At 37.8% G+C, this 27,094-nt stretch overlaps 1 protein-coding gene and 1 pseudogene across 6 annotated transcripts in view; one reads left to right on the top strand and one right to left on the bottom strand.

Annotated features, from left to right (window-relative positions):
* Window positions 1-7,803: 7,803 nt before the first annotated feature.
* Window positions 7,804-27,094, bottom strand: part of ZNF738 (zinc finger protein 738) — a 29,583-nt gene continuing 10,292 nt past the window's right edge. The window contains exons 3-5 of one of the 6 annotated variants that reach the window (NM_001355237.2): window positions 21,022-21,148; window positions 20,422-20,517; window positions 7,804-13,520 (exon numbers count right to left, since the gene is read on the bottom strand). In NM_001355237.2, the coding sequence (NP_001342166.1) occupies window positions 12,712-13,520; window positions 20,422-20,517; window positions 21,022-21,148 (1,032 nt within the window). In that variant the 3' untranslated portion in view covers window positions 7,804-12,711. Of the gene's footprint in view, window positions 13,521-16,704; window positions 16,783-17,076; window positions 20,225-20,421; window positions 20,518-21,021; window positions 21,149-27,094 lie in introns of those variants that run through there. The other 5 variants (XM_047438272.1, NM_001355241.2, XM_047438273.1 and 2 more) reach the window with 5 other exon arrangements.
* ISCA1P7 (iron-sulfur cluster assembly 1 pseudogene 7) lies at window positions 14,385-15,354 on the top strand (annotated as a pseudogene).

Raw genomic sequence — 27,094 nt, 5'->3', positions numbered from 1 at the left:
GAAACTCCATCTCAAGAAAAAAAAAGAAGAGAGAAAGAGAGAGAGAGAAAGAAAGAGTGAAAGAGAGAGAGAGAGAAGGAAAGAGGGAAGGAAGGAAAAGGAAGGAAGGAAAAAGAAGAAAGAAAAGTGAAGAGAAGAGAAGAAAGAAAATAAAAGTGAAAGAAAAGAAAGCCGGGTGTAGTGTCCCATGCCTGTTATCTCAGCACTTGGGGAGGCCGAGGCAGGCGGATCACCCGAGGTCAGGAGTGCAAGACCAGCCTAGCCAACATGGTGAAACCCCGTCTCTACAAAAATACAAAAATTATCTGGGTATGATGGCAGGTGCCTGTAATCCCAGCTAATAGAGAGGCTGAGGCAGGAGAATCACTTAAACCCAGGAGGCAGAGGTTGAGGTGAGCCAAGATCACGCCATTGCACTCCAGTCTGGGAAACAGAGCAAGACTCCATCTCAAAAATAAAAAAATTTTAAAAAGAAGGAGAAGAAACAGGTGAAATTCATTGTAACAATTTAATTAACCCAATATATCCAAAATATTATCATTGTAATATGTGAGCAATATGTAAAGATTAATGAAGTATATATATATTTGGAACTGTATCTTTGAAACTAACTCTGTATTTTACCTTTCTAGCAAATTGCAGCGACATTCCAGGCACCCAGTAGCCGGCCATACATGGCCAATAGCTGTTGTATTGAATGTGTCAGCTCTGACGTCAGGAAGGTGAAGGGTCTGAACGTCCATATTCTGCCAGTGGTGAGGGGACAGCCTCTCTCTACCAAAGTCTCTGTGCTGTTCCGAGGGTGGAACAGATAGTGGCCATAGAAAGGTCAGAAGATATCAAGAATAAAATCACCACAGGTAGACCACTGCTGGCCACCTGTTGCCCACCTTTCTTCTAAAGATCATACAGTGAACAAAGAATGATAGGGCCACCAGGCGCGGTGGCTCACGCCTATAATCCCAGCACTCTGGGAGACCGAGGTGGGCGGATCACTTGAGGTCAAGAGTTCGAGACCAGCATGGACAACATGGTGAAACCCGGTCTCTACTAAAAATATATACACTGGCTGGGCGTGGTGGCGTATGCCTGTAATCCCAGCTACTCAGGAGGCCGAGGCAGGAGAATCACTTAAACCTGGGAGGCAGAATTTGCAGTGAGCCCAGATCTTGCCACTGTATTCCAGCCTGGGCAACAGAGCGGGACTCCGTCTCAAAAAAAAAAAAAAAAAAAAAGCCTGGGCACGGTAGCTGTCGCCTGTAATCCCAGCACTTTGGGAGGCTGAGGTGGGCAGATCACAAGATCAGGAGTTCGAGACCAGCCTGGCCAATATGGTGAAACCCCATCTTTATTAAAAATACAAAAATTAGCCGTGCATGGTGGTGGGTGACTTTAATCCCAAGCTACTCAGGAGGCTGAGGCAGGAGAATCGCTAGAATCTGGGAGACAGAATTTGCAGTGAGCCCAGATCTTGCCACTGCACTCCAGCCTGGGTGACAGAGCGGGACTCCGTCTCAAAAAAAAAAAAAAAAAAAAAAAAAAAAAAGCCTGGGCATGGTAGCTCACGCCTGTAATCCCAGCACTTTGGGAGGCTGTAATCCCAGCACTTTGGGAGGCTGAGATGGGCAGACCACAAGGTCAGGAGTTCGAGACCAGCCTGGCCAATATGGTGAAACCCCATCTCTACTAAAAATACAAAAATTAGCCGTGCACGGTGGTGGGTGACTTTAATCCCAAGCTACTCAGGAGGCTGAGGCAGGAGAATCACTAGAATCTGGGAGGCGGAGCCGAGATCGCGCCACTACACTCCAGCCTGGGCAACAGAGCAAGACTCTGTCTTAAAACAAAACAAAACAAAAAAATGATAGGGCTACATGAGAAGAAAACTCCATGTCTTCAAATTTGTCCACAGCCTTGAGCTTTCATGTTTAGACATGAAGAAAATAGATTAAAGGCAAACTTTTTTTTTTTTTTTTTTTTTGAGACGGAGTCTCGCTGTGTGCCCAGGCTGGAGTGCAGTGGTGTGATCTTGGCTCACTGCAAGCTCTGCCTCCCGGGTTCACGCCATTCTCCTGCCTCAGCCTCCCTACAATATCATTTTAAAATCTTGACTTTATCTATAAATATCCTCTTTTGTGTTTAATATTTTTATTGCTCTTAAAATAACTTTTTCTACTTTATTAATATGTTCAAAGAACAACACTGATTTTACTGGCCATGTTATTATTCCCAAGTGATAGATGAGACAGAGAGGTTAAGAAGTTTGCCCGGCCAGGAGAGGTGGCTCAGGCCTGTAATCCCAGGACTTTGGGAGGCCAAGGAGGGCAGATCATCTGAGGTCGGGAGTTCGAGACCAGCCTGGCCAACATGGTGAAACCCCGTCTCTACTAAAAATACAAAAATTAGCCTGGTGTGGTGGAAGGCACCTGTAATCCCAGCTACTTGGGAAGCTGAGGCAGGAGAATTGCTTGAACCCAGGAGGCAGAGGTTGCAGTGAATCGAGATTGCACCATTGCACTCCAGCCTGGGCAACACAGCAAGACTCCATTTCAAAAACAAAAACAAACAAACAAACAACAAACAAACAAACAAACAAAAACAACTTGCCCAAGGTTTTACAGGTACTTTGAGCCTGCTCTTATAACCATCAAACACACTATCTCACCCAAGGAAACACACATGCAATACTACTTCGAAAGGTACATAAAATCACACATACACATGCAAATCTTTGTAAAGATAAAACAAACTTATATAGAGTTTGTCTGCAAAAGGGCACTGAGGTTGAGTGTAGTGATTTTCACATGATACCAGCATTCTCTTTGTTGTTGTTGTTTCATTTTGTAGGGATGAGGTATTGCTACATTGCCCAGGCAGATCTTACACTCTTTTGTTCAAGCAATCTTCCTGTCTTAGCCTCCCAAAGTGCTGTCTGTAATATTTAAAAATACTTATATGGGTAAAGTGTGCTTGTTTATGTTTGTAATCCTGTTTTGGAAAGATGAGGGGGAAAGATTGTTTGAGTTCAGGAGTTCAAGACAAGTGTTGGCAACATATTGAGATCTTATCAAAACTAAAAATCAAATAAATTAGCTGTACATGGTGGTACCCACCTGTAGTCCCAGCTACTTGAGAGGCTGAGGTGAAAGACCCACTTGAGCACTGTATATCGAGGCTGCAGTGAGCTGTAAACTCACCACTGCACTCCATCCGGGGCAACAGAGTCAGACACTATATCCAAAATAATGTTTACAGAAAAAATGCATTCATACAATTTTGTTATTTATGGAATTCATGGAAATATAAAAAATATAAAGTACTCAATGGCAAAATTATTATTTTCTAATTTTTCTCTTGCCTTTCATGTTAGCTCTTCACTCCAAAAGCAACTCAGTATGTAGGGCTAGATGTGCTCATGCTGCCAACTTTTTACTTTCTTACTCTGAAATCATTTTAGCTTTCCTGAACATATTCCTCACATTAGAGAAGAACATTGCTTTATATTTGTGTATGTAAACAGACTATGGGGTTGGCTTTCTTAATACTTTTTCTTCAGTATTTTAAAGCAAATCTTGGCTGCTGGCAGCCAGGCACAGCCAGATTAGGTGGGAGCAGGAGGCAGAAACTTGCAATCCATGAGCTGCATTGGCTTTTTCAACACCCACTCTTTCTCCTCAACTACATAGAAAATTGTCTTAGTGTTTGATCTTATGCATCCTTGAATCCAAACATCTCATTCTTTGCCTTATACAAACTACAAACATATTTGCAATTTATAACACGTAATCAATCTATTGGAAAATATTCTAAACAAAAACCTTCTTTTCATAGAACACAATAGTGCAGCTGAACACTTAAAATATTGTGTTCAGGATTACTAGTATAATGATGTTACCTAATATTTATTATGTACTTTTGGATGTTTAGCACTTGGAAATTATTTAAAAACCTTCTCAAAATTAACCTGGGAGTTCAAAGGCTAGGTATGACCCAAACAGTCCCTTTCTTCCCAACACTGAGGAATGGCATACAAGATTGTCTTGAGGTTGAGGGCAGGTGATAAAGAAAAATTTTCAAAAGAGAAAGAAATTTCTACAATCTTGTCACCACACATTGATCTTACATAAATTTCTCCATCAGTTATATAAATTTTGAATGAACCACATTACTTAAAGTTGTCCAAATGATTGTTCCACATTGTAAAATTTTCAGAAAACTGAAAGAAGCAAAAGCAAACTTTCTTAAAGAAGGTAACATCTCATCCAGTCCTTGATGAAACTTGAAAGTAATTTTCTATGAACAGTGACTAGCAAGCAACCAAAGATGGCAAAACTCACAATAAAGAAGACAGTGTGAAAGACACCAGAAGAAGGAATAACAGAAACAAACCTGCAAAGACATCCAATATTAGATTTATCGACAAAAATATTAAAAACTACTAGGCTTAACATATTTAAATAAGACAAATGAAAGTATCTACAGGGCATTAGAAACTATAAAACAATTTAAAAAGTAACTAAGTTGTGGAATGAATAATACAATAACTAAAAGAACTCACTAACCACATTTGAACTTAGGTGCACTAGACAGAACTAGTAAACTAGATGAGAGCAGATGAAATTAACACATATGCAAAAAATGTCAATGTCAGAAAACTCTACAGGTAAGTCTTTCAGACATTTAAAGTTTAAAAATGAAAAGCATACTGTTGATATTATTTAACCTTTCAAAAAACAGAAGAAGTAAAAACACTGCACAACTCAATTTCTGAGAGTTAATACCAAAGATTGACAGAGACAAAACATGAATAACTATAAAAGTATCATTCATAAAGACAGATTTTAAAGTTTTAAAGCATTTGCTAACAAACTGAATCTTGCTCTGTATAAAATAAGTAAACCCGGCTGGGAGCGGTGGCTCACGCCTATAATCCCAGTACTTTGGGAGGCCGAGTTGGGTGGATCATGAGGTCAGGAGTTCAAGACCAGTCTGGCCAATATGGTGAAATTCCGTCTCTACTAAAAATATAAAAATTAACCAGGCATGGTGGCACACACCTGTAGTCCCAGCTACTCGGGAGGCTGAGGCAGGAGAATCACTTGAACCCAGGAGGAGGCAGAGGTTGCAGTAAGACAAGATTGCACCACTGCACTCCAGCCTGGATGACAGAGCGAGACTCCATCTCAAAAAAAAAAAAAAAAAAAAGTAAAACCATGAATAAGTTTATCTCGAGAGTACAAGGTAAGTTAAACTTTGTAAAATCTATATGTGTATATACAATAGGCACAGAAAAAGGGCTTGGTAAAAACCTTTTAGCAAACTAAAAATAAAAGGAAATTTTATTTTCTAAATATAGAAGGTATCTAAAATGTACTACAGCAAATGTACATGATAAACCATGAAAACTTGTCTTTTGATGTCATAAACATTATAAGGATGCTGCTATCAACATTTTTATTAAATATTGCATCTATGGTCCCAGCCAATAGATTAAAATGAGAGCTCAGTATTACAGTAATACTGGCAAAGTAGAACAAGTCAATAAGCTAGTACCTAAACAATTGGTTCTAGCTGGGTAGATTGGATTCCTGCACAGCAACTGACACAACAATTTTTCACATAGATTGAGAATTTAAAACTTTTAGGAGAAAATACAGGATATTATTGTTGTTATAACAGTGGGGTAAAACAATGTCTTAAACATGGCACATTATAAATTAGACCAAATTCTAAGAATTTTTGATTAAGAACTTATAAAAACATGTTTAAATATAGATGGTGGAAAGGCAAATCATAACTAGGACAAAAATCTACAAAAACGCATATTACAAAAAATTAGTATTTAGACAATATACCTTATAGAGTATGAATACAAAAAGAAATGAAATACATTAAAAATAGACAGATGGCACATCTTAAAGCACAATTGACCAATTAACTTCTAAAAATGCTAACTTCATTAGTAACTATAGAAATGCTAATTAAAACTATAAATGATATACCATTCTGATTCTCCACTTTGTCAAAAAATATTGTGCCCAGAATTTATTCCATCTGGTGGATTCTTGGTCTCGCTGACTTCAAGAATGAAGCCGCAGACCTTTGCAGTGAGTGTTACAGCTCTTAAAGATGGTGTGTCTGGAGTTTGTTCCTTCCAATGTGTCCAGAGTTTCTTCCTTCTGGTGGGTTTGTGGTCTAGGTGACTTCAAGAATGAAGCTGTGGACATTCGTGGTGAGTGTTACAGCTCTTAAAGGTGGTGCAGACCCAAAGAGTGAGCAGCAGCAAGATTTATAGTGAGGAGTGAAAGAACAAAGCTTCCACAGCATGGAAGGGGACCCAAGCAGGTTGCTGCTGCTGGCTCCTGGTGGCCAGCTTTTATTCCCTTATTTGGCCCTGCCCACGTACTGCTGATTGGGCCATTTTACAGAGCACCAATTGGTCCATTTTACAGAGTGCTGATTGGTGTGTTTACAATCCTTTAGCTAGACGCAGAGTGCTGATTGGTGGGTTTTTACAGAGTGCTGATTGGTGCATTTACAATCCTTTAGCTAGACACAGAGTGCTGATGGGTGCATTTTTACAGAGTGCTGATTGGTGTGTTTGCAATCCTTTAGCTAGACATAGAGTGCTAATTGGTGCATTTTTACAGAGTGCTGACTGGTGCATTTACAATCCTTTAGCTATACAGAAAAGTTCTCCAAGTCCCCATTTGACCCAGGAAGTCCAGCTGGCTTCACCCCTCAATATGTCTAGTAATTCCAAGAGTTGGTAAAATATAGAGTAATTGGAATTCACAAATAACCACTGGCTATAGAATTGGTTTAAAAATTGATGTATATTCACCCTATGCAGCAGTGAAATGGACAACTGTAGCTATGCAAAGCAACATGGAAAAATAGAAGGAAACAATTGTAAATAAAAAAGCAAGTCACAGATGAAAAATTGTAGAATTTATCTAGAGCCAAAAATCTGGCAACACTGAAACGTATATTGTTTATAGATAAAATTGCATAAAGTAAATGATAATACAAAATTCAGATACTGGTTACTTTGGGTTAGTAGGGCTTTAGGAAACTTCAGAGGTATCCACTTCTCAGGAATGCATGAGGATTTTATGAAATTATACTGAAAGTTTCATAAGAGTAGAGACCAATTCTTTCTTTCTTCCCTTCCTTCCTCTCTCTCTTTCTTTCTTTCTCTTTTTGATGGAGTCTTGCTCTCTGACCCAGGCTGGAGTGCAGCGGCACGATCTCGGCTCACTGCAATCTCCACCTCCCGAATTCAAGTGATTCTCCTGCCTCAGCCTCCAGAGTAGCTGGGATTACAGGTGCCTGCCACCATGCCCAGCTAATTTTTCTATTTTTAGTAGAGGCAGGGTTTTACCATGTTGGCCAGGCTGGTCTTGAACTCCTGACCTGGTGATCTGCCCGCCTCAGCTTCCCAAAGTGCTGTGATAACAGGTGTGAGGCCACTGTGCCTGGCCATAATTGTACATTTTAAAATAAGTAAAAGTGTAGAATTCGATTGTCAGTAATACAAAGGATAAATGCTAGAGGTGACGGATACCACATTTAGCACATGATTATTATGTATTATATTTGTGTATCAAAATATGCCATATATGGCATAAGTATATATACTCATATACCCACAAAAATTAAGAAAAATAAATTTAATTGATTAAAATAAGAATAAATATTTACCCAACAGGAATATTATTATTTAATTTATCTATACTTTAAAGCCACTGGCAAGAGATTAACATGTTAAAAATGTTGAAACCATTAACTTCACACATAATGTAAAATTTTAAAAATGTGCTGCATTTTATTATATAAAAGTACAATTAGTACAATAATATACTAATAATATACTACTAGTTTTCTCATAATGCAAAAGAACAATACTCTTAACACCTACCTCATATATCACTCAAGAGTATAAGTTAACCACAAAGAACCTCTCCACTTTTTCATCATGCATCTTACATTCTAATGTCCTTACTTGTCCATAGAAAAGATCATAAATGCCCACCTAATGGAAAAGAATCTCTCATACCTTTGATGCAACAATTATCACATGCTTTCACAAGTGAATAAGAATGAAGAAACACCAGAAAATGAGTGTTGAATTACATCATTTGCTTTCAAAGTCTGTAATTTTTTCAAGAAATAAAGTATACTTAGAATGTAGTTATTACTCTGCAAAAAATCTTTTACTCCTCTTAAATTTATATACAAATACTTTTTCTATCAACTTTAGTTTTAGATTATTTTCTATACTCAGAACTCTTGACTTAGTATATCTGCAGTGTCAGTTCCTTATATATTTCTATTATAAATTCTGATATTTACATAGCCCTAATTTGGATTAAATATTTTTTCATTTTTAGTGCATCTTCAAAAATATTCTTCAGTATAAACTCTGGTGTTTTCTGATGTAGTTTTTGAAAAAGTGTTTTTCCACATTTATTATATCTGCAAGACACTTTTCCAATATAAGTGCCCTAATGTTGAACAAAGCTTGAGCAACTGCTTCAGAGTTTTCCTCTAGTACAAAATGTGTACAATAAAATTTGATTCAAGTAAAGGTACTACAACCCTCTTTATGTTTGTAATGTCCATCTTCAATATAAATTCTCTTCTTCACTTTAAAGGGTTATATTTTTCTGAAAGACCTTTTGACAGTAATTGCCCTTATCTTGCTTTTATTAAGTATGAACTCTCTGGTGTTAAGATGTAAGCAGATATTAATGTCTTTTTCACAGTCTGTATTTGTATAATTTTTCTCAAACATAAATGCTTTTCTGTGCAATAAGGTGGTTAAGTTTTGCCACATTGCTCTCACTTGTAGGATTTCTTTCCAGTATGAATTATATTGAATGTAATCAAGTAAGGCAGGGAGTGGTGGCTCATGCCTGTAATCCCAGCACTTTGGGAGGCCCGAGGTGGGCGGATCACCTGAGGTCAGGAGTTTGAGACCAGCCTGGCCAAGATGGTCATACCCCATCTCTACTAAAAGTACAAAAATTAGCCAGGCGTGGTGGCAGGTGCCTGTAATCCCAGCTACTTGGGAGGCTGAGGTAGGAGAATCACTTGAACCTGGGAGGCGGAGTTTGCAGTGAGCCGACATCATGCCATTGCACACCAGCCTGGGGGACAAGAGTGAGACTTCATCTCAAAAAAAGAAAAAAGTCAAGTATGACAACCATTTAAAGACTTTGTCACATTCTTCACATTTCTAGGATTTCTCACCAATATGATTCTTTTTATGGTTAGAAAAGCTTGAGGTGTTGTCAAAAGCATTATTGCATCTTTCTGGTTTGTGGAGTTTCTTTCCAGTATGAATTATCTTATGTGTGTTAAGATCTGAGGACTAGTGGCTGAGCGTGGTGGCTCATGCCTGTAATCCCAGCACTTTGGGAGGCTGAGGTGGGCAGATTACAAGGTCAGGAGTTCAAGACCAGCCTGATCTACATGGAGAAACCCCATCTCTGCTAAACATACAAAATTAGATGGGTATAGTGGTGCATGCCTGTAATCCCAGCTACTCGGGAGGCTGAGGCAGAATTGCTTAAACCTGGGAGACGGAGGTTGCAGTGAGCTGAAATCATGCCACAGTATTGCAGCCTTGGCAACAAGAGTGAAACTCCATCTCTAAAAATAATAATAATAACTGAGAACTAGTTAAAGCTTTTGCCATATTTTTCACACTCATAAGGTTAATCTCCAATATGAATTTTCTTATGTTTGGTAAGAATTGAGGACTGGTTAAAGGCTTTGTCACATTCCTCACATTTGTAGTGTTTCTCTCCTGTATGAATTATTTTGTTCAAAAAGGTTTGTAGGACTGGTTAAAAGCTTTGCCACATTCTTCACAGTTGTGAGGTTTCTCTCCAGTATGAATTATGTTATGTTTAGTGGGAGTTGAGGACTGGATAACGGCTTTACCACATCCTTCACATTTCTAAGATTTTTCTCCAGTATGAGTTATCTTATGTTTAGTAAGGTTTGAGGATTGATTAAAAGCTTTGCCACATGGGTGGGATTTCCCTCCAGCATTAATTATCTTATGTGTAGTAAGGGTTGAGGATTAGTTAAAAGGTTTGCTACATTTTTCACATTTGTAAGGCTTCTCCACAGTATAAATTATCTTATGTGCAGAAAGTTGAGGGGACCATTAAAGGCTTTGCCACATTCCTCACGTTTGTAGGTTTTCTCTCCAGTACAAATTATCTTGTTTAGTAATGGATGAGGATTTCTTAAAAGCTTTGCCACATTCTTCACATTTGTATAATTTCTCTCCTGTAAGATTTTATGTTTAATAAGGTATGAGAATCTATAAAAAGTTTTGAGATATTCTTCATATTTGTAGGGTTTCTCTCCAGCACGAATTACCTTATGTGTCATCAGGGTTGAGAAGTGGTTAAAAGCTTTGTGACATTCTTCATATTTGTAGGATTTCTCTCTGCTATGAATTCTGTTTAGTAAGTGTTGAGGACAAATTAAAGCCTTTGCCACATTCTTCACATTTGTAGAATTTCTCTCCAGAATGAATCACCTTATTTTTAGTAAAGTATGAGAATCAATAAAAACCTTTGCCACATTCTTCACATTTGTAGGGTATCTCTCCAGCATGAATTACCTTATGTGTAGTAAGGGTTGAGTACCGGTTAAAAGCTTTGCCACATTCTTGACATTTGTAGAGTTTCTCTCCAGTATGAATTATCTTATGTGCAGTAAGGCATGAGTACCAGTTAAAAGCTTTCTCACATTCTTTACATTTGTAGGGTTTCCTTCCAGTATGATTTCTCTTATGTGCAGTAAGGTGTGAGGACTGGTTAAGAGCTTTCTCACATTCTTCACATTTGCAGGGTTTCTCTCTAGTATGAACTCTCTTATTTTTTTTATTTATTTATTTATTTTTTTGGAGATAGAGTCTCTCTCTGTCATCCAGGCTGGAGTGCAGTGGAGCCATCTCAGCTCACTGCAACCTCCACCTCCTGGGTTCAAGCGATTCTCCCACCTAGGCCTCCAGAGTAGCTGGGACTACAGGTGTGCACCACTACACCTGGCTAATTTTTTATATTTTTAGTAGAGATGGGGTTTCACCATATGGGCCAGGCTGGTCTTGAACTCTTGACCAGGTGATCTGCCTGCCTCAGCCTCCCAAAGTGCTGGGATTACAGGCATGAGCCACCGCACCCAGTCAAACTCTTTTATCTTTAGTAAGGGTAGAGGACCATTGACCAGGTGATCTGCCTGCCTCAGCCTCCCAAAGTGCTGGGATTACAGGCATGAGCCACCGCACCCAGTCAAACTCTTTTATCTTTAGTAAGGGTAGAGGACCAGTCAAAGCCTTTGCCACATTCTTCACATTTGTAGAAATTCTCTTCCGCATGAATTCTCCTATGTGTAGTAAAGTATGAGTACTGGTTATAAGGTTTGCCACATTTTTTACATTTGTAGTGTTATTCTCCAATATGAATTATCTTATGTATAGTAAGGGTTGAAGATTGGTTAAAAGCTTTGCCACATTCTTCACATTTGTAGGGTGTCTCTCCAGTATGAATTTTCTTATGTTTAGTAAGGTTTGAGGACCAGTTATAAGCTTTGCCACATTCTTCACATTTGTAGGGTTTCTCTCCAGTATGAACTCTCTTATGTCTAGTAAGAGTTGAGGACTGGTTAAAAGCTTTTCCACATTCTTCACATTTGTAGGGTTTCTCTCCAGTATGAGTTATCTTATGATTAGTAAGGTTTGAGGATTTTTAAAAAGCTTTGCCACATTCTTCACATTTGTAGGGTTTCTCTCCAGTATGAATTATCTTATGTCTAGTAATTTGTGAGGAACAGTTAAAAGCTTTGCCACTTTCTTCATGTTTGTAGGGTCTCTCTCCAGTATGAATCATCTTATGTGTAGTAAGGTATGAGAATTGGTAGAAATCTTTGCCACATTCTAAACATTTGTAGGGTTTCTCTCCATTATGAATTCTCTTATGTTTAGTAAGGGTTGAGAATACATTAAAGGCTTTGCCACATTCTTCACACTTGTAGGGTCTCTCTCCAGTATGAATTATCTTATGTTTAGTAAGGGTTGAGAATACACTAAAGGCTTTGCCACATTCTTCACATTTGTAGGGTTTCTCACCAGTATGAATTCTCTTATGTGTAGTAAGGCGTGAGTACCAGTTAAAAGCTTTGCCACATTCCTCACATTTGTAGCGTTTCTCTACAGTATGAATCATCTTATGTGTAGTAAGATAAGATAATCGGTAGAAAGCTTTGCCACATTCTTCACATTTGTAGGGTTTCTCTCCAGTGTGAATTCTCTTATGTGTAGTAAGGTAAATGAATCGGTAGAAAGCTTTGCCACATTCTTCACATTTGTAGGGTTTCTCTCCAGTATGAATCAACTTATGTGCAGTAAGGTAGGAGTAACAGTTAAAAGCTTTGCCACATTCTTCACATTTGTAGGGTTTCTCTCCAGTATGAATTATCTTATGTGTAGTAAGGTATGAGAATCTGAAGAAAGCTTTGCCACATTCTCCACATTTGTAGGGTTTCTCTCCAGAATGAATTTTCATGAGTAGTAAGGTTTGAGGACTGTTTAAAAGCTTTGCCACATTCCTCACATTTGTAGGGTTTCTCTTCAGTATGAATTATCTTATGTCTAGTAAGGGTTGCGAATACATTAAAGGCTTTGCCACATTATTCACATTTGTAGGGTTTCTCTCCAGTATGAATTATCTTATGTCTGGTAAGGTGTGAGTACCAATTAAAAGCTTTGCCACATTCCTCACATTTGTAGGGTTTCTCTCCAGTATGAATTATCTTATGTTTAGTAAGGTATGAGAATTGGCAGAAAGCTTTGCCACATCCTTCACATTTGTAGGGTTTCTCTCCAGCATGAATTGTCTTATGTTTAGTAAGGTGTGAGGACTGTTTAAAATCTTTGCCACATTTTTCACATTTGTAGTGTTTCTCTCCAGCATGAATTACCTTATGTCTAGTAAGAGTTGTGGAGTGGTTAAAACCTTTTCCACATTCTTCATGTTTGTAGGATTTGTCTCCAGTATGAATTCTCTTGTGTCTAGTAAGGGTTGAGAACCATTTAAAGGCTTTGCCACATTCTTCACATTGGTAAGAATTCTCTCTAATATGAATTATTTTATGTTGACCTAGGTGTAAAAGCATGCAAAATGATTTGCCACATTTTTTACATTTGAAAGGTTTCTTTCCAGTATGTCTTGTCTTATGTGTATTTGAATTTAAAAATTTATGAAAGACTTTCACATATTTATCACATTGAAATATTTTGCTCTGGGTAGTTGTCAAATACTCTTTTAGTTCATTATAACCTTCTTTTTGCACATTACACTCATTCACACTTTTACAGCCTTTTCTTAACTGTAAATCTTTATGTCCATAATTTCCATATTCTCTCAGTATCACTTTTTGGAAAGAATCTTTTATGCCCGGCTGTGGCCAAAGGTCCTGGGCAAAATGAGAATATGTAACTGAAAGAAATAAAAATATCAAGTTACTCCACTTACTAGACTCAGATAAATATAGATTACAAATCTAAACTATGACATTATACAAACTACATATACAAGATGATATAGCAAAATACCAAAGGCCCTAATTTTTTATAGACATATATATGTAACAAAAACATACTAACGAAAATACATCTGAGAAAAAATTATAAATGAACTAAATGTTTAAAGTACCCCAAGTGAGCACAATGCAAAAAGTCACACAGAAGAAAAAAAAGTTTGTTACACTTACCCAACACAGCTGTTCCTGCTCCCCGATATAACATAATGCCTTTAGAAGTAAATTGCCCCAGATGTGGTGGCTCACACCTGTAATCCCAGCACTTTGGGAGGCTGAAGCATGTGGATCATGAGGTCAGGAGATTGAGACCATCCTGGCCAACACTGTGAAACTCCGTCTCTACTACAAATATAAAAATTAGCTGGGCATGGTGGTGTGTGCCTGTAGTCCCAGATACTCAGAAGGCTGAGGCAGAATTGTTTGAACCCAGGAAACAGAGGTTGCAGTGAGCAGAAATCATGCCATTGCACTCCAGCCTGGGTGACAGTGCAAGAGTCCATCTCAAAAAAAAAAACAAAAAGAAGTAAATTGCCAGCCGGGCGTGGTGGCTCAACCTGTAATCCCAGCTACTCAAGAGGCTGAGGCAGGAGAATTGCTTGAACCCAGGAGGCAGAGGTAGCAGTGAGTCAAAATCACACCATTGCACTCTAGCCTGGGCAACAGAGCAAGACTACATCTCAAAAAAAAAAAAAAAAAGAAAGAAAGAAAAAAAGAAGTAAATTGCCAACATTTTATATATGTATTTTAAAAAACACAAGTAGAATGCACCTGCCATGTCCATGGAGACAGGCTGAGGCAGCCGAGCTCTGGCCTGAGGCACTGGGGCATTGGGATGGTGAAGATGTCAGCTTCCTTAGTCCAGGCAACTGTCCAGGCTGTGAGCAAGAGGAAGCTGCAGCCCACCCAGGCCGCCCTCACCCTGACACCTTCAGCAGTAACCAAAGTAAAACAACTTCTTAAAGATAAGCCTGGCCAGGCGCGGTGGCTCACGCTTGTAATCCCAGCACTTTGGGAGGCCGAGGTGGGTGGATCACGAGGTCAGGAGATCGAGACCATCCTGGCTAACGCAGTGAAACCCCATCTCTACTAAAAATACAAAAAATCAGCCAGGCATGGTGGCAGGTGCCTGTAGTCCCAGCTACTCGGGATGCTGAGGCAGGAGTATGGCGTGAACCCGGGAGACGGAGCTTGCAGTGAGCTGAGATCACGCCACTGCACTGCAGCCTGGGTGACAGAATGAGACTCCATCTCGAAAAAAAAAGAAAAAGAAAAAGGTAAGCCTGAGCTTGTAGGTGTAAAAGTTGGTGTCCAAACCAGGGTCTGTAATGGCCTTTCTTATACTCTAGAATATACAAAGACAAAAGGAGATTCTGATGAAGAAGTTATTCAAGATGGAGTCAGAGTATTCATCAAAAAGAAAGCAAAGCTAACAGTTTTAGGAGCGGAAATGGACTATGTTGAAGACAAATTATCCAGTGAGTTTGTGTTCAATAACCCAAACATCAAAGGGACGTGTGGCTGTAGAGAAAGCTTTAATATTTGAAATCTCAGGACTCTTCTGGCTGTAGGTTCCAAGAAAACTCCTGGAAGCCTTGGTGCTCACTGCAGAAATCATGTGACTCTCACGTGCTTAATGTGCTGCTGCCTTGTAAGGAAAATAAAGTGATGCATCTTGAAAATGAAGCTAGTGTGTTAGATCCCAGAAGAAATATTTGTATTCTCATTAGGGGACAGAAAATGAGAAGCCATCACTCTCCTTGGATCATTTAGGTCTCTTATATCCTTTGTTTTAGAAACAGTTTCATTAAAGTTGCCTTCCTGGGCACCTGTTTATCCATTTCCTGAACAGTGTGCCCTCCTTAGCTCTCTACTGAATGGCTTGAACATGCATCCCCCTCAGCATTTCTCCCAAACAGATCGGTGACTCCTAAAATCTGAGACAGGACGTCCTGACTGCTGGTAGTAACATGGTGGTGCATTGTTTTCCCACCCAAACTTAATATAGCCTTTTTATACATTTGTATGAAAAATTTCATTGTCAGATGCCTCATTGAGTACCCTATAATAGTACCGGGCAAAGATTTTCTTCAACTATAGTACAGATTAGTTCTCAGTGATGGTATTAAAAGGTGAGAAAGACATCATCCATCTGTTTTTTAATCCATTTCTTTTGCCACCTTATGTGCCTGCTCAGAGATAGGATCTCAAGCTGACTTTGATTCTTTTAGTTGAGGGGTCTCTTAAAGCCATCTAGCCCACCTCCCTCAATTCCCTATGTGAGGAAGCAAAACCCCAGGGAAGCCAAAGGGCTCCTGTCCACCCCCACTCCACAGGCCAGGGGAGAGTGGGGACTCTACCCCCATCTCCCCTTCCTTGTAGGTGACACATGCTCTGCCCTCTGAGGCAGTCAGTGAAGGCAAATGGTCTGACTTCTTTATTTGGTCACCATTTTGATAGAATTTCTTTATAATTTGATGGAGATCATATTATTTTTATTTTATTTTGAGTGGGAAGAATTTTAAAACCCTTTTATGTGAACTTGTTTCTTTCATCTTTGAAACTATGGTTTGTAGCAGAGAAGACATTGTAACAACCCAGAATTATGTTTTTGGAATGTGGTCCTCATTGTGCAGGAGAATATGGGGATCTTTTCTTAAAATTCCCAGTGTGCATATACTTTCTGGTTCCTCAGTCCAGTTGCTAAAGTTCTTAATATTTTAGCCTAACATTTTTATCATCAAATTTTCTTAATAAGTGTTCCTTTTGTTACTTAGTTACTGATTTTCCTGGGTTTGACATATTAAGTATTCTATGAGATGACACATATGCTTTTATTGAAAGCTGATTCTCATGAATTCAAGTAGTTGAGTTCCTTTATGTTTCTTTTATTCACTAAAGTAGCTGGCACAAAACACACCAAAACCTAGAGCGGTAGTTTTATGTAAATGCTCATGAGTTTGTATCAATAATATAATTGTTGATCCACTTATAATTCGTGCAATACTGTATGTATGTAGAGATTGAGGTGTCAATTAAAAAAATGTGGCCTTAAAAAAAAAAATTTAAAAAACACAAGTAAAATACTGGCTCATGTATCTTTATTGCTTGCTTGTAGGGGCCTTTGAAGACACTGGTTTCTGTCACCCATGACATATAGTGCTGAAAGAAATGGTGGTATAATTTGGAATGACAGTTTGTGTCTGCTGAGATCAAAGGTAAATGTTAAAGCAGTGAAGAGACTGCAGGACCACAGAAAGAAAACAGGTGCAGTGAGTGATTACTGAGTATTAACAAAGAAGATGAATAATTTCCTTTAACTAAAAAATAAACACAAAATTTCAGGCAAGACACATTGTAAGAATATGTCTGAGAGACTCTCAGAATCTCTAACCCAGACAATTGTTCAAAGTATGCCAGGAGAAAGCCACATTACAAAGACTGGGACAGGTAACATTTTTTTAATGTGCAAATTTTAATAAAAGATTAGAATATATACAAAACAGGGCAATGTAGTACCAACAAAATTATTATAAATTTTTCAGAAAGAAATAAAAAATGTATACATTAATTTTAAAAACAAAATAAATTGAATACTCAATGAGTAAAATATGAACACAGAGAACTACAGAAAATCAGAAAACTGGAAATAAGAACAGAAATATTTAAAATATTGGAAAAACAGAAATTATGGAGGTAAAAAAATATAAAAAATAACAGAAATCTTTTAAAAAGTGATGTAAAAATGAAGAAGCTGAACAAACAAACTAGAATACAAAGATATTTATATCAAACACATATGTAAGCACAATTTTAAAAGTCACAGAAAAGAGAATCTCGGGAGCTGCAAGATAAAAGTGATGTGTTGGCTGGGCGCGGTAGCTCAAGCTTGTAATCCCGGCACTTTGGGAAGCTGAGGTGGGTGAATCACCTGAGGTCAGGAGATCGAGACTAGCCTGACCAACATGGAGAAACCCTGTCTCTACTAAAAATACAAACTTAGCTGGGTGTGGTGGCATATGCCCGTAATCCCAGCTACTCGGGAGGCTGAGGTAGGAGAACTGCTTGAACCTGGGACACAGCGAGGTGAAATCGCGCCATTTCACTCCGGCCTGGGGAACAACAGTGAAACTCCATCTCAAAAAAAAAAAAAAAAAAAGTGATATTATTTGCAAGAATACTCTTATGAGATAGCCAGTGGATTCTCAACAAAAATTTTTCAGGACAGAAGAAAACTGTGTGATATAGTGAAATCTGAAGAAAATAGTTATCAAGTGAGTATAATACCATCACCAAATCTGTCCTGCTAAATAAAAAGAAAACAAACTTCAAAAATAACCAAATTTTAAAAAGTATATTGGTACTTCCTTACATATAAAAGGTGCTGAAAACAGTTGCTTCCAATGAAAATAAGATGATTTAACAAAGCAACACAAAATCATATTAAAACACATTATTTTCTGGGAAAGATACGCACATACACAAAAATACATTTCTTAGCATTATCATAATGGCACAGAAGAAATTTTTAATTATTCCCCAAAATTTGAAAGATAAAGGCATAGAAATCATTATAAACATGTTAATAAATATACATATAAAAATATAATTAGCAACATCAAGAACAAATCTGAGAACATATGTAATGAGAAAAAATTTTTGCATGCAACAAAAGTTCATTTTTAACTAGACTGAAATACATTGTATCTCTTAAAGGTTTTATGTAATCCCCCACGTACCACAAAGAATATGCCTGTATAGACACAGAAAACAACATAAGAAAGAAGTAAAAGCATATCAAAGTAAAAATAAAACAGCCACAGAGAGAAACAAAGAGAGAAAATGTGGGACAAAGATGCAAGAATCAAATAGAACAACAAAAAAAATTAGTAAGTCTCTTTGTTTCAGAAAACTTTCCAATCAAGAGACATACTTTCAATAAAGAAATTTATTTAAAATTATTAAAAACCAAGATCCAATTTGCCTTTCTACAAGGGTCAGCTGACATCTAATGATTAAAAACATACTGAAGGTGGCAAGATAGATTTAGACATTGCATGCAAATATTAACCAAATGAGAGCAGAAGAGGTCAAAATAGTATTACAAAAGCCACATCTTAAGTCAAAAACTGTCATATCTTACATAAAGTACTTTAAGTCAAAACTGCAAAGAGACAAAGAAAGACATTAAACAATAATAGATTTATTAACTGGGAACCTATGACAAATTTTGTGTGTGTGTGTGTGTGTGTGCACGTCTGTGTGTCTGTGTGTATGTCACACTAAGGTTCCAAATATATAAAGCAAATATTGACAGACTGGAAGAAACACCTAGACAGCAATATAATTATAGTAGGAAATTTCAATACCCCACTTTCTGTAATAAAAATAAAACAAGACAGAATATTAGTAAGTGAAGAGAGGAACTGAAGGCAGTATAATACAATTTTTTTTTTTTTTAGATGGAGTTTGCTCTTGTTACCCAGGCTGGAGTGCAATGGCACGATCTCAGCTCACCACAACCTCCGCCTCCTGGGTTCAAGCGATTCTTCTGCCTCCGCCTCCTGAGTAGCTAGGACTACAGGCACGTGCTGCCATACCTGGCTAATTTTGTATTTTTAGTAGAGATGGGGTTTCTCCATGTTGGTCAGGCTGGTCTCAAACTCCCAAACTCAGATGATCCGCTCGCCTCGGCCTCCCAAAGTGTTGGGATTACAGGCATGAGCCACTGCGCCCAGCCTGTACAATTATTTTTAACAGAGAAATAGAGAAGAGTCCTCAAGAATATGAGGAAACACATCCTTCAAAATAGCTTATGCAACATTCTCTTTGATAGACCACCTGTTAGGCCAAAAACGGAGTCATAAAAATTTGTTAAATTTGACATTTTATGAATTACATCCTATGACCAAAATGGAATGAAAGTATAAAATAGAAAAAAAGGCTGGGTGTAGTGGCTCACGCCTGTAATCCCAACACTTTGGGAGGCCAAGGCAAGTATACTAAAAATCCAATTTTTTAATAAAACTTTTTATAAAAACATGAGTTTTTACTAAAAACTCTCATGGTGGTGCATGCCTGTAGTCTCAGCTACTCGGGAGGCTGACATAGGAGAATCGCTGGAGGCAGAGGTTACGATGAGCCAAGATGGCGCCTTTGCACTCCAACCTGGGCAACAAGAGTGAAACTCCATCTCAAAACAAAAAACAAAACAAAACAAAAAAACTACAATAAACTTTGAATAGCCAAAGCAATCTTGAGGAAAAAGAACAAAGCAGAGAGACATTATATTTTATAATTTCAGACTATATTTCAAGAATATACTAATAAAAAAAGATGGAATGTGCAGAAAATTAACATAAAAACCAATAGAACAGTGACCACTACTCTCACACATTTTAGACATGATGCAAAAGAGAACTAAAAAAATAGTTTAACATAAAGTTTCTCAAAATCATGCAGATATTTGTGTGTCCCCCAAAACAATGGAAATGCAGTCAGATTGTGCAGTCTTTTATATGCCATGAAGAGGACTCTGGCTCTCACTGTGAACTTGAAGGAAAATCAATGAAGGGAAAGTAGAATCCTTAGAGAATTTAAAAGCCTAAGACAGAAGATGGCCCTATGTGACAGTAACAACAACAAAAAGAAAACAAACAAAAAAACCACACACCTCAGGCTTCCCAGAATCTATTTGCTTTGGAACACAGCTTCCCAAATCACATTATAGGGACTGCTTTTTTTTTTTTGTAATCTTCCAACCTTTCATCTATGTCAACTGTTTTATTCACTCTCACCTACCTGGGGGTGTGGCTACCATACTGTGTCTCTTCATATTCCAGGGATCTTTTCCTTGCTCCAGACAGGTGATCAGATCTGGCTTAGAGACATCAATACCTGATTTATTAAAAATAAATAACATGAATCTTGCTCATATTCTCTAATTACCTACCTATTACTGTGCTTAGTAAAGAGGAGGTAATAGAATATTCTAGAAAATTCATCCCAAAATACTATTTAATGACAGAAAGTTCTTACATTTAGAAAATATTTTAAATTTGTAGGTCCTTAATTTTGCTACTCAGTGCTCATGAATCAAAAATTAGTGGTGGCAAATAGATTTTAACCTATGGGCAACAATATTTTATACTACTAAATTTCTGAGATTACCACTACTCTAGAGTGAAGGGTACAGACCAGCTCAGGAATGCAAAAAGTTCAGGCTAAGATAAAACATCTTGAGGAAATTTTTTTCTGCATGGATAATTCCTCGCAATTTTTTGAAAACAGGGATCAGAAACGCATTTATGCAAAGCATAAACTACCAAAAATTATTCTACAAAAATGGAGAAATGAAACCTTTAGTGTATATAAGGAATTGTGTATTAAAGTTATTCTCACCCAAGAACACCAGGTTTCTGAAGTTCTCTAACATCACTTTCCTATACAAATCTTGCTGAGCAGTGTCCAGGCATTGCCACTCCTCCTGAGAGAATTCTATGACCACATCCCTAAATGTCAACGGCCCCTGAAAAACACACACACACACACATATTTACAAGTGTCCACGGGCAGAATTTATCATTTGAATTAAGGTTAAATGAGAGAGTAAAGAAAATTGGTTCTGACTTACAGGAATAACTGAAATCATCCAACAATTTTCAACACAGAAATATTCTCTAATGTATTCTCTAACTCTGAGAGAAGAGAATGGTATAAGATCCACAATACCGCTGTATATATGATAATTTTATGAACAATAAAGTATAAAAACGAAAGGCATGAACACAAACATGTATATTTTTTAGTGTTATATTTGCATCACAAAGAATGAGTAGTGCATATTTTTTAGGCAAAAATGACATGTTGAGTTAGACAGCACCTCTCAAGTTTTAATGTGTACAATACACTGGAGATCTTATGCAGATTTTTTTTTTTCAGAAGATGTGAAATAAAGTCTGAGATTCTGAATTTCTAACAAGCTCACTAGTAATGCCAATGTATTTCGCCCAAAAAGAACATTTTGTCAAACATCCAGTAAGTGGAAGAGCCTGTGTTTTACCCCATTTTTCTGGCCTGTAAACAAAGATAAGAGTCTTCATTTTCTAAAGATAGACATATGCAAAGAAAACCTAAGAAAGAAAGGCAGCTGCCAGATTAAATGTGATGATTTATGCACAGCTCTTCTTTGGCTACATAAAGATACTTAATAATGAGGAGAAAAATAATTAACTCTACAGTGAAATGAATATTTCCAAGAGCTCTTGAAGTAAATTTTAAAATCAACTGCACAAGGACAAATTTTTGTGATGTGCTGACGCACACCGAAGAACACAGCATCATTACTGAGATATTGCCCCCCAAAAAGTATAGTCTGAATTTAACCACACAGAAAAATCAGTTTTATGCAGAGTTCAAGATGCAGATATCTTCTATGTTCTGTAATTTTTAATAACAATTTAAAGTAGTCTTTCTTTAGCACCCTAGAAAGCGGGTATCTCGCAATAATTTTTTTTTCAGAACTTTCAGAGTAATAAATGCCATCCAGTTTAAATAAGCATTTTCTTAATCCTGTTCTGAACAGAGCTAATGAAGAACACATATGAAACCTCAACATTACATGTTCTCCATCCTTACTAAGGACGTTCCCCCAATAGGAATCTTGAGTATCCACATCTTTCCACGTTCAACAGCAACAAGGGAAACACTTTTAATAGTGCAGATCAAAAATTCCTGGTAAGAATTCTGCATGGCGTATAAGAAGCCATGATTTAGAGAGTGTAGAGAAGGCTCTGGGATATAGGAGAGAGATACTTTGCAGAGACCCTTGACTACCACAAGAATTTTTTATAGTAGTTAAACTCATTAGGGGAAAGAAACACAAGTAGAGAAGTAAATGTTTGCAAGGACTAAATGCATCGCACTCCAGGAGGCAGAGTGGACACAGCTCTTCATCTGACACATGTTTAGCTGAAAAAAAAAAAAAAAGCCATTTTTCCTCTTTTGTCTTCTTTGGAAATGCTTTTCAGATGACATTCTCTGGAGAAGTTACACCTGTGTCTTGAAAAAATTCCTTAAAAGGCGTCAGCACCACCTGTTTACCTGCTAGTCTCACACCCACAGAAAAAAGAACTAAGAACTGCAGAAAAAGCACACCCATTTCTGTCCTTTATAACAGCAGAGATTCAGGAACAATGAACTGCTCAATGAATATAAAAATATGTTTCTCTATTTCTGTCTTCAGGTGCCTGCTTTTGCCACAAACACCAGCAATTTCTGCTACAGTAATGGAAATATGGGTGACACTGACCTCTCCCTATCAAAACCAAACAGAACGGTCCCTGTGACTACCTTTTAGTGCAAAGGTGGAACTTAACTCTCATGAATGTATCTTGAACCCCACACACTTGATTCTGGCCTCACCTTAGAGTCACATGAGACACAATTAAAACAACATGAATACTTTCACCTAGAACAATAAACAGAACCTGTGGAAAGGGTACAAGTAAAGAGATTTCTGCAAATTGGCCATGTAATGCTAATGAGAAGTCTAGGCTGATAACCACTTAGCTAAGCATTGCCTCTCAACCTTTAATGAGCTCAAAAATCACTTGGTAACGTTGGTCCCACTTTATGTAATGTGATTCTGTAGGTTTGGAAAGGGTCCATGGATGGGTGTTTCAAACAAGTCCCGTGTCAATGCTGATGTTGCTCCCCTTGGGCTCATTATTAGCATTAGTTAGAGAAAGCAGGCACAGCACAGAGTCCTTTACATGCCGCACTCTTGTCACAATACAATACTTCTGATACCCAAATAAAGACAAAAAATGTAAAGTTTCATATTCTTTGCTGGCTCTCTAAAGTTTACAGAGGACACAGAAGGCAGCAATGTCTAAATAAGTCTGCATTTAAAAAACAACATGTACACATGAACTAATGCAATGTTTATTAAGCAGGTACTATGTGCTCAATAGTATGTTGCAGAGCACTGTGCTGGGAATAACACATTATGTGTTATTATTTGTTATTATGTCCTACTAACACCTTGAAAGTTCATACTAAGTGTTCAATAATTCTCAGGATTTAGAATGTAGTTTAGAGAAATTTTTTTGTGTTTATGTTTACTTGTTTATGACTTGTAGAGCAGCTACTGGATCTGCAGGAACAGAAAATCTGCTAAATGGAACGTTTCTGTAAGCACTGGTTTTACTACAAAATTTAAAAATTAAGATCTTAAAATGTATAGTTTATTTTTCTTATGTATCTGCTTTTGGGTTTCAGGATACTGTGAGCAGCAGCTCTAGAAAGTCAGCAGGATTTACCCCCAAAAACTTGAATCTTTATAAATCAGTTTTGTAAGGGAACACTCCAGAGTGAGGCCAGACCTAAATAAGGCCTCCAAAAATGGTGAATCTGATCAGAACTGGGGCAGGGAAAAGAACCTAGGTAGAATTTGTTTTCTATGTCACTGGAGTATTTCCAGTTCTGTTTTTCCTAAGTTTACCTAAGAAAAACTTAAATCCCAGCCTGGCACGGTGGCTCATGCCTGTAATCCCAGCATTTTGGGAGGTCGAGGTAGGTAGGTCACCTGAGGTCGGGAGTTCAAGACCAGCCTGACCAACATGGAGAAACCCCATCTCTACTAAAAATACAAAATTAGCCAGGGTGGTGGTGCATGCCTGTAATCCCAGCTACTCGGAAGGCTGAGGCAGGAGAATCGCTTGAACCCGGGAGGCGGAGGTTGAGGTGAGCTGAGATCGCGCCATTGCACTCCAGCCTGGGCAACAAGAGCGAAACTCCGTCTAAAAAAGAAAAAAGAAAAAAAAAGTTAAATCCCAGAGTTTATGTAACACTAATCTATTTTTGCCACTGCTGTCAATTTTATAACATATACTAATAAGCAATTTAAATGGATCTTTTAAAGTTTTCTAGGATAATTTTATTAGAAGATAAATATGTATTCTTAGAAAAGTAAAAGAAACACAAATAATAATAACTCTTCAGTCCATAAATATACGTTCAGGTGATAACTTCAGAAGTCACAACAATATTAAAAAGAAGTGGACCAAGGTTTTTTTGCACACTTCTATTCACTGTACCAACCATATAATGCTTAATTCAACCATGTATCCAGTTGCTAGTCTAGACTAAAATTTCCTGGATGGTAGGGACCTTGACTGCTTCATCTATTTTTTGAATGACCATATGAAGTGGAAGCAATTAGTTTGTTTGAGTCACCAGACCTCCTCTTTGTCTTTCACCCTAGTACCAGAAAACTTGAGAAACTCTCATCTGGGTAACAACCAAAGTTATCTCTTGTATGAGGGAGAAAAAAACACAGGATGTCTCCTTTCTCTTACAACGAGACAGAAACATAATTAATCATTCTTGTTAGCCTGACATAATTCTACCCTTGACATCCTCAAATGTCTTAAGGACACCCAGGTGATTAGGAGAGGATTCCCAGTGACCCAGGGCTGATGGCCCAGTGATAAGCCAGGCTGGAGAAACTCAGGCTGATTCTAAATAGAAAATGGAACTGCCTTGGTGGAGCCCCAGAACCTGGGTCACCTATCCTGATTTTTGCTAGCTTTTGGGTAAGAAGAAGGACGAGAATACTTTACTCCAATATCACAATTACCGGTAGGTATAGTTGTGGTTATGGCTCTGGATACTTTGTGGCCTTGATCTCTCATTCTTGTTTACACTTACAGATTCTATCATCAGATTCTATTTACACCAGGAGCCTCTCACATACTGTAGCAGGTCACTGAACAAGATTGAAAAGCTTAAAGAGCCACATTCTCAAATGGGGGCTTTAAGATTTCTACACTGACATCTCACAATACAGAAAATGCCTTTTGTTGGTTTTCAGTACATTCTCAACCCAAAGTCTGGCCCTGTCTTGTAAATCCCAGGCAGAGGCCAGAACTTATGTGCAGGTTCTAGGTGAGGTTAGCCTGACTCTGCATCCTTGGGCATTACAGCAAGCCGAGTACAGTCAAAGAAGAGATCCCTTCATAGAGGCTGCTCTAGCACATTCTAAGTAATATGTCTACCTAAAAGAAAAAAACTGAGGCAACATGAATATAAGTAGAGACTTCATCTGGGCCAAGCTTGAGGATTGTAAACTTGGAGCAAAGATACATCCTCCAAAGACTGAACAAATAAGAAATTGAATCCCTGAATATACCAATAACGAGCTCCAAAATTGAATTAGAAATAAATAGCCTACCCACCAAAAACAACAAAGAATCAGAAAAATTTACAGCTGAATTCCACCAGATGTAAAAATTAGAGTTGGTACCACTTCTACTAATATTATTTCAAAAGATTGAGAAAAGGGGACTTCTTTCCAACTTATTCTATAAAAATAGCATTATTCTGATACCAAAATCTGGCAAATATAAAACAAAAAATAGAAAACTTGAGGCCAATATTTTTAATGAACATTGATGAAAATATCAACAAAATACTGGCAAACCAAATCCAGGAGAACATCAAAAAGCTAATGCACTATGATCAACTTGGCTGTATCTCTGAAATAAAAGGTTGGTTCAACATACAATTAATAAATGTTACTCATCATGTAAACACAATTAAAGATAAAAACCACAAAGTCATTTCAATAGATGTTTAAAAAGCTTTCAACCATTATGGGCATGGTGGCTCACACCTGTAATCCCAGCACTTTGGGAGGCCGAGGTTGGCGGATCATGAGGTCAGGAGTTCAAGACCAGTGTGACCAACATGGTAAAACCCAATCTCTACTAAAAATACGAAAATTAGCCAGGCATGGTGGTGTGTGCTTGTAATCCCAGCTACTCAGGAGGGCGAGGCAGGAGAATCACTTGAATCCAGGAGGTGGAGGTTGCAGTAAGCTGAGATCATGCCATAGCACTCCAGCCTGTGAGAGAGTGCGAGACTATGTCTCAAAAAAAAAAAAAAAGAATGAAGCTGGAAGCATTACATTGCCCCTCTTCAAACTACATTACAGTAACCAAAGCAGCATTATACTGGCATAAAAACAGACTCATAGAACAATGCAACAGAATAGAGAGCCCAGAAATAATGCCACACACCTCCAACCATCTGATCTTTGACAAACCTGACAGGAATATGAAAAGAATTCTGTATTTAATAAATGGTGCTGGAATAACTAGCTAGCACTATGTAGAAGATTGAAACTGGTCCCCTTCCTTACACTATATATAAAAATCAACTCAACCTGAATTGAAGACTTAAATGCAAAACTTAAAACATGCATGTTCATTTCACCACTGTCCACAATAACAAAGACACGGAATAAACCTAATTGCCTATTGATGGTAGACTAGATTGAAAAAATATAATATGGTAGCATGAGGTGGCTCACGCTTGTAATGCCAGCACTTTAGGAGATTAAGGCAGGTGGAATGCCTTAGCTCAAGAGTTAAAGACCAGCCTGGGCAACATGGCAAAGCCGTATCTCTAC

The sequence above is a fragment of the Homo sapiens genome, chromosome 19 (assembly GCF_000001405.40).
Source record: "Homo sapiens chromosome 19, GRCh38.p14 Primary Assembly".
Lineage (NCBI taxonomy): Eukaryota > Metazoa > Chordata > Mammalia > Primates > Hominidae > Homo > Homo sapiens.
This window is presented reverse-complemented; position numbering and strand designations above follow the sequence as displayed.